Below are 12,195 nucleotides of genomic sequence, written 5' to 3' on the forward strand. Positions count from 1 at the left end.
AAAATAGGCTCATCAGGCTCCTACTTCAACAAAAGCTGTGATTAACTGTTGTTATTCAAAACAGCACTAGACCACGTTTGTTACAGAATACACTTTTAACGAATGAATGAACAAATGAATGATAAATTTGAAAATGTAAGGGTTAGATCTTTGGTTCTCATTGGCTGGGATTTTGACCCTCAGAAGACACTGGGCATTGCTTAGAACAAAGGCTTTGATTGTCAAAACAAATCAAAGAAGGTAGTTGCTATTGCCATCTAGTGGATAGCTCCTGGCATCTAGTGGGTAGAGGCCAGGACTACTGCTAAACATCCCACAATCTAGAGGGCAGCCCCAATCAACAAAGAACTATCCAACCCCAAAGATCAAACTGCCAAGGGTGAGAAATTGATTTAGACCAAACACAGTTGTTATAACTAGTAATAGTGAGAATCTGTATGTTTCTAATATGTATATGAAAAATGAGTATTCAAGATAGTCCATGATATCACAAAAATGATTTATATAAATCTAAGAGAACAATGATAATTGCACTGATCTTGAACACTGCGGTAAAACAATCCCCTTTCTGTTGTTTTACTGTTGTGGTGAAAATCACATACATTAAGTCAGGTTTTCCCAACATTTGATCAGAGAACTATATGTTCTCTTTTTGGAAGTGAAAATATCTTTTAAAACTCATCAAACATTCTAATTACTCTATTCTTTGTTCTGCACAAAAATTAACCACAGCTTCCTGCAGAAGACAAGGATGCAGATGTTGCTTTTACATTCAGCCAGATGATTTCATTAAAATCAAATTGTAAACTCAAATATATGTTTCAATCTCTTCTCTTCCCTATGGCAACAGCATTTTAAGTCCTAGATTATCAACTTTGTATAAAACATAGGCTAACAAATCAGTTTAGAAATATCACATTAAAATCAATGCAAGAAAAGCATTATAATTTTATGAAGGGTAGTCATGTATTTTGAAATCAATTTTTCACATTTTATGCTATTAAGTATATTTCTCAAGTGGAATTTTTAAAAGTTCTGAGGACATTTTGAATTCAGGGAGCTCAGCATACTAACACGTTTAAAATCTCTTCCGATAGCAAGAAGGCTCCACTATTTTTCTAGCAGAACATTTATTCCTCATCTTCCACTTGATCCTGTTAGCCATATATATTGAGTGTGAATACTTCACAATTTATAGTTCATATGTGTTCTCTATGATCACATACCACCAGTATATTATAAACTGTCTTTTTCTTTTCTTTTCTTTTCTTTTTTGAGATAGAGTCTCGCTCTGTCACCCAGGCTGGAGAGCAGTGGCGCGATCTTGGCTCACTGCAACCTCCACCTCCCAGGTTTTAGAGATTGTCCTGCCTCAGCCTCCTGAGTAGCTGGCCCAAGAGGTGCATGCCACCATTCCCGGATAATTTTTTGTATTTTTAGTAGAGATGAAGTTTCACCGTGTTAGTCAGGATGGTCCTGATCTGACCCCGTGACCTGCCCCTCTCGGCCTCCCAAAGTTCTGGAATTATAGGTGCGAGCCACCGCACCTGGCCTCTACTGTCTTTTTTTTCTAAGTAATATAAAAGTAATTTATTGTCACAATTTGTTTTTAAGTATACAGTGATTTGCGAGTTTTCCAGAATTCTCAAGTGGCTTAGTCACAAGTGGAATGGTTTGAGAAACATTCAACTAGGCAATGCATATGATTTGGACTCAAATGGATTATTTATTTACTCGCATATTCCTGTGAAAGGAGATAAGTGGCACTACAATAGAGAATATTCAAAGGAAGTGTTTTTTACCTAAATGTTACAAGATCACTATATACATATATATATATACACATATATATATATGTGTATATATATATTTTATACTTTAAGTTCTGGGGTACATGTGCAGTTTTGTTGCATAGGTATACACGTGCAATGGTGGTTTGCTGCACCCATCAACCCGTCATCTACATTAGGTATTTCTGCTAATGCTCTCCCTCCCGGAGCCCCCTACCCCCCGACAGGCCCCAGTGTGTGATGTTCCCCTCCCTGTGTCCATGTGTTCTTATTGTTCAACTCCCACTTAAGAGTGAGAACATGCGGTGTTTCGTTTATATTTAAACTGATATTATAGTTTATAGCATTTGAACTCTAAATAGGATTAAAAAGATGCATAAAAATGATCACTGTGTTTGGGGCTAATAATCATACAAACAGCAATAGAAGCTACTATTTACTGACCATCTGCTGTAGCACTATGTTCAGAACTTTACAGATACTGTTATTACCTCAATAATATTGACAATAATTGTATGAGGTAGGTTTGAATTGCTCCATTTTACCTATGAGGAAATCGAGATTCAAAGATGGTATAAAATTTTCATGAAGTTATACATATATAAAAGCATATAAAAGGTAGTTGGAGATAAAGACAAATCTGTCAAATTTTAAATCCATATTATTGCCACCAGACTAGCCCACCAATTTGCATTCTCTGTCTTTACTACATCCAATAAGGCTTTAAGACAAGAGGATAGCCTAGAAGGTTTATAAGTGTCAACAATTCAAATTAAGACAAATCGAGGGGCAGTATTATTGTGTTTTGAAATTAGTTCTTGGACAAAATACAGTCACTTTTCTAAAGGCAGTATATAAGATGGTGACTCAAATCACATCCTTGGGTTCAAATCCCTGTTCTGCCACGTATGCTGTGACAACTGGAACATTACTTAATTCCTTAGTTCCTCAGATCTCTCATTCCCACACTCATAGAGTTACTGCACTATTAAATGTGATAGTATATGTAAAATATCTGACATATAAGGTGTATGCAATTAACAGCAGCTTCTGTTGCTGCTGCTTTCTTGTTGTTGTTGCTATTATTATTATTATTATTGCTCCAGGATAGCGTAGAACAACACATAATTCTATTTAATATCCTTTGCACACATCACTAAATATGAGCTAGAGTTATCTTGTTAATGACATTTGTACCTTTAGTTCTCACATCTTGTGATTCTCAGAAAAACTTTCCATTTCTAGTTCTTTCATTTTCTTGATACTTCGTACGTCAGGAATTCTAAAGCTATTAAAAGAATCATACTTTTTTAAGAACTTGATCTGTACCTTGTGTAACCAGGTAGGCAAGAAAAATATCAGAAAGTATCAACCAGGATTAATTTTAGGGGTAAACATTTGATTTCCCTTTCAAAAAAATCACAAAATGATAAAGTTTTCAAAATTATTAAGAATGTCAGAATTTCATGCACATGAACTCTTGTCTTCATGCACCATTTGCTTCCTTGCTGTTTTGGAGAGCAAGGAATATCTTTCTCATCAGGAATTAACATTTGTCTTACATCTTAGACATAACTTTTAAGTATTAAATTTAATTTTAGTTTATTGCTATGCTAACACCTTCTAATAATGGGTATAAAATTATATAAATTCTAATGTAACTTCAAAAATCACAAGAAAAACCTTTTTAATAAGTAAAATTATTAAAATCTGTAGATAGCACATATGTTTTGATACTTCATAAATTATTACTTAGAATTCATGCATAAAGGAATGTCTATCAAAATGTATTCTTAATTGGATTATTTACAGCAACAATTAGTTTATTATTATTCATTGTTATTCATGTTATTTGTTATTTGTTTTGCTTCTCTGACAAATTTGTATAATTGCTATACAAATAATTTTTTATATAATATAATATTTATACAATTTTATTGTATATTTTAATTTATATATTATAATTTTATTATTGTTAAACAATAATACAAATTTAATATCATAGAGTATTTAGAATATCTGAAAAGTACACACGATACTTTTATGTTTAAACCTAAGTCTGAATTTCTAACGTTTATTCACAACGTAGATATTAAGTTTTTATTCAGTATTTTCAGGATTCATGATCTATCTCAGAAAATAATAGCACACCTGAGTCCCAGCTATATTAGCCCATAACTCTTTAGTGTAAAGCTATCACCATGAGGTATGCTGTTTTCCATATATCTCTGTCATCTGGAATGAAAAATATGCTTAGATTGAATTTCTTATATTTTGGTACTGCTTTTTCTCTCTGTGTCATAATCTAGCTATGTAACATTTTTCCATAAATGCATTTGGTTGTCTAAGAAAGACTATTTCTCCTTCACTTATGAAGGATAATTTTGCTGCATATAGTCCATTTGCATGGCAGTTTATTTTTTTTTCTTTTAGCACTTTGAATATATCCAGTCTTCCTTGGCATGTGGAGTTTCTGCTGAGAAGTTCATTGTTAGTCTGATGGGGGATACTTTTTTAATTTTTAATTTTTGTGGGTACCTAGTAGATGTATATATTTATGAGGTCCATGAGATATTTTGATACAAGAATACAATGCATAATAATTACATTATGAAAGATAGGGGTATTCATTCTCTCAAACATTTATCCTTTGGGTTACAAACAATCCAATTATACTCTTTTTGTTATTTGTAAATGTATAATTAAATTATTATTGACTATGGTCACTCTGTTGTGCCAGAAAATATTAGTTCATATTCATTCATTCTAACTATTTTTTGTACCCATTAATCATCCCCACCTCCCTCTCCCTGCCCCTTCCCAGCCTCTGGTAATCATTCTATACTCTCTATCTTCATAGGTTCAATTGTTCTGACTCTTAGATCCCACAAATAAGTGAGACCTTGTAATGTTTGTCTTTCTGTGTCTGGCTTATTTCACTTAACATAATGATCTCCAGTTCCATTCATGTTGTAACAAATAACAGAATCTCATTTTTTATGGCTAAATAGTACTTCATTGTGTATAAGTACCACATTTTCTTTATCCATTTATCTGTTGATGAACACTTAGGTTGCTTCCAAATCTTAGCAATTGTGAACAGAACTGCAAAAAACATGAGAGTGCAGATATCTCTTTGATTCATTGATTTCCTTTTTAGGGGATATAGACCCAGCAGTGGGATTGCTGGATCATATGGCAGCTCTACTTTTCAATTCTTTGGAAACCTCCCACAGAAGAGAATATTTTCCTAAAGATGTTCTCTATAGTGGCTGTATTAGTTTACATTGCCATCAACAAGTATATGAGGGTTCTCTTTTCTTTACATCCTCACCAGCATTCATTATTACCAGTATTTTAGAATTAAGCCATTTCAAATGGGGTGAGATGGGGGATTTCTTATACGTAAATAGATGCTTTTATTTTGCTAATTTTAGATTTTCTCTTTGTTGTTGACTTTAGACAGTTTGACTACAATGTGCCATGGAGAAGGCTTTTTGGATTAAATCTCATTGGTGATTGCTGGGCCTCCTGTATGTAGATGTCTTAATCCCTTGCCAGTCTTGGGAAGTTTTCATCCATTATTTCATTTTCATTAAATAAGTTTTCAAACCCTTTCATTCTTTTTTCACCTTCTTGGATACCAATAATTCATATATTTGTTTGCTTTATGGTGTTCCATATATATAATGCAGACTTTATTCATTCTTTTTCCCTTATTTTTGTTTACAGGGTTATTTCAAAATTTCTGTCTTTAAGTTCTAAAATTCTCTCTTCTGTTCGGTCCAGCCTATTGGTAAGGCTTTGAAGTGTGTTCTGTATTTCATCCAAGGAATTCTTTAATTTCAGAGTTTCTGGGTTTGTTTTTTTTTAATAAGAATTATCTTTTTGGTAAATTTTTCATTCATATCCTGAATTTAAAACAAAAAAATTGTATTGTTTTTCAGAACTCTATTGAAACTTACTCAGCTGCTTTAGTATCATAATTTTGAACTCTTTTTTCAGGACTTCATGCATTTCTTTTTGGTTGGGCTATTTGTTGCTGGGGGATTATTGTGTTTGGATGTGTCTTTTTTTTTTTTTTTTTGCTTTTCCTGCTTTCTTATCCCTACATTGGTATCTGCACAACTAGTGTAGTAGTTACTTATTCCAATCTTTTGAATTTGGTTTCACAGAGGAGAGTATTTTCCTAAAGATGTATTAATGGTGTTGGTTGGGTATGGCCCTTTGTCTTTGACTCTGGGTGTATGCAGAAGTATAGTCTCTGTATGAGTTCTTCAGTTGTAAACAGCATCAGTGGCACCTGTGATTTCTTATTGGTTTAGGTGTGATTATTAGTGTAGGCTATGGTGAAGGTTTGATTGGGGCAGGGATGTTGGAAGGCTTTGTCTTAGGACCCAGTGGTGGCAGCAGTGAGCAGATCACGCCTGACCTTGGACTCCAGGTATGCGTACCCCGGCATTGTTGTTAGCAGGAACAAGCGGGTTGGTTCTCTAGCCACCAGATGGCTTACTCAAATGCCTGTAGTGGCGGCAGTCGGCCAGGCAAGTGAGTAGGTTCTCAGGCCCCTGGGCAACCAGTGTGGTGTAGCAATAGCTGCCCCCATGGCAGGATGACCTTCTGGGTCCCAAGTGGTGTGAGCTGATGTTGGCTGTGGCTACAGTGTGGGGTAACCACACTCAGCCCCAGCCAAGGAGTCCTCGGGCTCTCCTGCTCTCTGTGGCAGTGTCCTTAGATTTTGAATAAAATAGTCTATTAAGTCAAACCCAGAAATTAATTAAACAGAAGTGCTTTTTTTCCTTCAAAGATTTTATGTATAAAAGATGTAATATACTCTATTGCAACATTACTGACGTAAATACTTTCATGAACAGCAAGGCGTATAAAATTCTAGACAAAAACAAGGAATTCATATGAGGCTATAAGTGCAAATATATTAGTTTAATGGGATTGGGATGCTATCTTCTATCTAATTCACTATCCTTATTGTTAGTTTTCTTTGGAAAGAAAGCATGATTCATATCTGGCCTCATGTCCCCTTTTGTTCTGACAGTTTTCTGATTCTTCAATAATTCTTTCCCTTAGAACATTTTCTAAATGGTTTTATTCAAAGAGATTGATATAATTATACTCATAAATTCTAAATTGTTAAGTGGTATCATGAATATTTATTTTTTAAATCAATTCATTTGTTTAATAGTATTTCCCCTTTCTAGCCTTTCTAATAGCAAACTATTTTTTACTTTATTTGCGATTTTAATCTGTGTGCACGGTCCAAATAGCATCTAAGCTGCCTTACATTGTTCTGCACTGCTTATAACCACAGCATTCCTGGAAACATCTCAATTTAACAAAATTTGTGACTAGAAAGTTTAGTAAATAACAGAAGTTGAACTGATTAGCATTGCTCTTTGTAACACTTTGAGGCAACTCCTTTCTTTATACATATACACAGATAATAAATGAAAAAAAATTGGAAATATATGACTTTCAAAAAGAAAGTTAAATATTTCCATGCAGTTGAAACTGAACAAACTATTTTACATGAGTGATCTGTGGGGATTTTTGACACTTTAGGTCTACTTAGCTCTGTGTCTGGGTGGAAAGAGATGTGGCCAGAAGATTAGTTCCTGAAGGATAATGTGGACAACAATTGTTCATTTTGAAGTGGAAAGCAAAAGTCAGTCAGAATTGAAAGCCTGTGTCCTCTGAGGAGAGGCTGGTGATGGGGTCTCCAGTTTATGAAGATACAAAAAGAGCAGTTACCAACCACTTCTTGGGGTTCGGGTCTATAACAAAGTATGGCACCATATTCATAGAAAAAAGGACATATAATTATGCAACCAGAAATTAAAGCTATAATGTATCTGGCTGCTATTTCAAAATTCCCAAATCCATGGAGATGCAGAAGGCCTAAATCACCAATGCTGCAGTCCCAAAAATAATAATGACCACAAAACCACATGAAATTTTAAGAGCGAATATGGTTGAGGTGGGCAGCAATGGAAAACCTTCTTCAAAATATTTGGTAAATCAAATTTCCAAATGACATAAAGAAATCTATTGCTAAGAAACACAGCAAAGAAAACAATTTAGTGTAAATGAATGTAAATGTTGAATAGTCTGACAAAATAATTTAAATATTTAGAATAATTACAGAATAAATATCATGCATAAAAATACAAAAAAGATAAAATATTATGAAGAACTTTCTGCTTATAAATTTGATAACTTGGAAAAAAGGGACTAATTTTAAAAACATAAATTACCAATGTCCAGTTAAGAAGAAATAGATGAAATCATGCATATGTCAACACAAAATACACTAGTTTCCTTTTATCCTCAGTTACACTTTCCATTTTTTTTTTTTTTAACCTATGCTCAGAAATGCAATAGTAGGCTAATGCTATAACACAGCACCTACATTATTCACTTCACTTTATCTCATTATATAAGAATTTTGTGATCTCATATCATCACCAGATGGGTGAGTCCAGTACAATAAGATATTTTGAGAGACTAGGGGAGAGAGAGAGAGAGAGATGCCCACATAGCTTTTATTGTAGTATATTATTATAATTGTTCTATTTTATTATTCATTATTTTTAACCTCTTACTATGCCTATTTTATACATTACATGTTATTGTAAGTATATATACAGAAAAACAATATATATCCGCTTTGGTACTAGTCACGGTTTCAGGCATTCACTGGGGTTATTAGAATGCAGCCCCCTCTGATAAGGGGGAAACCACTGTATCTGTAGGCACATGTTTAAAGTGGCTCTATTTGTAATCACCAGAACTTAGAACATTTGTCCTTCAATTGTTTAATGGACAAATTAACTATGGTATATTTTTACAATGGAATACAAGGTTACAATAAAAAGAAACAAAGCACTGATATGGATGACGATGGATGTGGATGAATCTTAAATACATTTTGCCCAGTCATAATGCCAAACTCAAGGCTACATCCTGTATGATTCAAGTTCTATGACACTCTGAAAAAGGCAAAATTAAAGGACAGAAAATAAATCAGTGTTTGTCAGGACATGGCTTTTGTGGTAATGGATTTATTGTAAAAGGGCACAAGGGAATTTGAAAGGTGATGGAAATATTCTCTATCTTGATTGCAGTGGTGTTCATACAATTGTCTTATTGTTTTAGCTAGGACTTCCAGTGTAATGTTGTAGTGGGGATAATGGGCATTTAATCTTGTTTCTGATCTTAAAAGAAGGCTTTCAGTCTTTCATCAATGAGGGTAATAGGATTTTTGGTAAATGCCTTTCAAGATGTTAAGTTCTGTTCTATTCCTAGTTTGATGAGTGTTTTTATTATAAAAGAGTGTTAAATTCTGTTAGATGCCTTTCTGCATATATTGAGATGATTCTGTGTCTGTATGTATATGTTTGTGTGTGTGTGTTCATTCTATTGATGTAGTATAAAACATTGATTGATATCATATGTTGAACAACCTTGCATGCCTGAGATAAATTCCACTTGGTCATAGTTTATTATCATTACAATGCACTGTTGGATTAGGATTCCTAGTGTTCTGGTGAGTATTTTTTACAACTGTATTCATAAGGTATATTAGTCTGCAGTTTTCTTTTCTTGTGGTAACTATGTCTCGCCTTGATATCAGGGTAATGTTGGCATCATAGAATGTGTCAGATGTGCCCTCCACTTCTATTTTTTTGGAAGAGTTTGAGTAGGACTGATGTTAATTCTTTACATGTTTCATAGAGTTCACCATGGAATGTTTTCTGGTGGTGGGCTTTCTTTGCTTTTTATTTTGAATAAATTGATTATAGTATGTCTTGGTATAAATATCTTTGAATTTATCCTTCTTGAACTTCATTGCAATTCTTGGATATATAGCTGCCTTCCTCAAATTTAGAAAGTTTTCATTTATTATTATTTATATATGTATGTGTATGTACATACATATAGACATGTTAATGTGAAGATTATGTCTATATGTGAATATGGATATTTGTGTGTGTATATACATAATCACTATTATAATCTGTTCATTCTCAATCTCTTCTCCTTCTGGGATTTACACAATGTGTACTTTGGTAGTGCTGGTAGCGTCTCTTGGGTCTTTTAGGCCCTGTTTATTTTTTCTCATTGTTTTTTTTTCCTACAATTCTTGGAATTGACAATTTCCGTTGTCCAAATTTTAAATTCACTGAGTCTTCTGTCTCCACAGGTCTGCTGTTTGAATCCCTATAGTGAACTACTGTTTATTTCAACATTTGAGGAAAAGGAGACAGGCACAAAAGTATACATACTTCATTATTTCTTTTCACTAAAGCTTAAAAATGGGCAAAACTATTTAGTATGAGTTTCTCTTAAATAATAAAACACAATAACCAAACAAGAGCGAAGCAATTTTTTTTCAAAACCATAAAATTCAGGAGAGTGGAAACCTTTACAGAATGAGTAGAATGTGATAAGAAAGGTAAATAAGGTAGGGGAAGAGGGTTCTGAGGTGTCATCAATATCTTACTTCTTGTTCTGGACAGTAATTATATGGATATGTACCTAATATTAGATAATTAAGTTAAATATTTATATTTTATTCACCTTCTATTAATGATATATGTGTTGTACTCAAAACTCAAAAAAGTGTAAGAAATTTTATCACTACGAAATTTGAATGATTTCCCTCAGAAAATAAGGGGTAAATTTACCAGCCTGCATGTGAAAGTTTGTAAATAATAATCAACACCAATAAGGAAAATGAAATTAAATGAGGCACCCTGACTTTTCTCTGACTTTTCTTTTTCCTGACTTTTCTCAACATTTGTTAAATAAATGTGCATATTTAGCTTAAGAAATCACTGTCCTTTCAGTCTCCCTGAGTTAAGTTTAAATGACAGAGGACCTATGAACAGCTGGCCCATTTTCCATTCTATAGATGTGTTTCAAATAGGAAGTTATTCATTTCCATTACATCAGTTAATAGACTACCATATCAAACACTGCTGTGTTTCCTCTCTTGGTAACATTTCTGTGATTTACATTTCCCTTTATTGAAGGTTGTTATTCATGAACTGTGGGTCCTTCCAAAGCTGATTTTCATCAAACATGACCTTTCATGTTTTTCCGTTGTAATGTAATGCAACTTACTTAGTGTAAGATTAGCATTCATGTCAATCACAAACCTACTCACCATATCTATTTTACTCAGTCATCAACCAGAAGACACATACATTTCATTCTAAATATAAAATAATCTGTCTTGTGTATGTGAGAAAAGAAGTCCACCTCCTTTTGCACTGTCTTTCATTTTTCAGTTTCTTTAAGTTAAGATTACAGATGATGATTTTCTATAGTTTTAGGTCCATGGTAGTTTCTGATCCAATTATGCCACAGAGTATTAGGAACCCTAAACCCAATAAGCCTGGTTAAGTTTTCTAGATATGATATCGTGGTAACAATCATGATTGTCTTCCTCCAACCTCAGAACTAGTATCTAATCCAACAGAGATGAGCCATGAGTTTCAACACTTGCTAAGATTGGATCATTCAAGTTACAACAATTTATGTTCCAATCAGTCTTAAGTCTTGTTTACAGTGTGAAAAGTCACACTGCCTAGTCACTCTTAGGAACTGGTCAATCTCTGACTCGTGTCTTCTGACTAGGACCATGGCATCTGACTAGTTCCTTTTGCCACCACACTTTTTTATGAAAGCTGAATCATATCTTCTGTACATCCTACCCTCCCATCAATCCCGACCCCTGGAAGCACTGCTGTGCATGAAGATTTTGTCAGGAATGACTTTCTCTCACTTAGTTCCCAATCCACTTTTAATTAGCTAACTTCCAATTTGTTTATATCCCTAATAAATCAATGTTCTCTAGAGGGTCACAAACAAACTTGCAAAGTACAATGCAGTGGTCTATTCTAAACCTTTACTTCTTTAACCACTTCAGTGCATCTGATTTTTCAAATTCTTTTCTCTGGCTTTTCTAGCACTGAAACAATCTACCTTTGGAAATTTTGTTATCCATCTGTTGTCTACTTTTTCCCAGACTCAAGATGTGGGAATTCCATTCTTAGTTCTCTTCTCTGATCTATCTCCATACCTTGACAAACTCTTAACAATTTTAAGTCTATATGTATAACTTGAGTAAAATATCAGGTGGCAATAAACACAAGATTCAGTGGTAGATTTCATCTAAAGTTGATCTTAACTGAAAAAGCAAGAAAATGCATGTAGAATATGCAGTTAAAATATTTCATGTGACTTATATTTGAATAATAATAGTAATGATAACAGATAAAACTAACATGTAATAGCGCTAGCTGCTTTATTTAGACCTATTTACTAGATGTGTCAGTATTATTCAAATCCACAGAATAAAGGACTGAAGAACAGAGCATTTAGC

At 33.7% G+C, this 12,195-nt stretch overlaps 1 annotated feature.

Moving 5' to 3' along the window:
* Window positions 214-333: a silencer, noted in NCBI's record as "silent region_12015". NCBI's record gives its function as "represses an Ori minimal core promoter by ATAC-STARR-seq in GM12878 lymphoblastoid cells {active_cell/tissue: GM12878}" and the evidence as "EXISTENCE:reporter gene assay evidence [ECO:0000049][PMID:35858748]".

Source organism: Homo sapiens, chromosome 2 (assembly GCF_000001405.40).
Source record: "Homo sapiens chromosome 2, GRCh38.p14 Primary Assembly".
Taxonomy (NCBI): domain Eukaryota; kingdom Metazoa; phylum Chordata; class Mammalia; order Primates; family Hominidae; genus Homo; species Homo sapiens.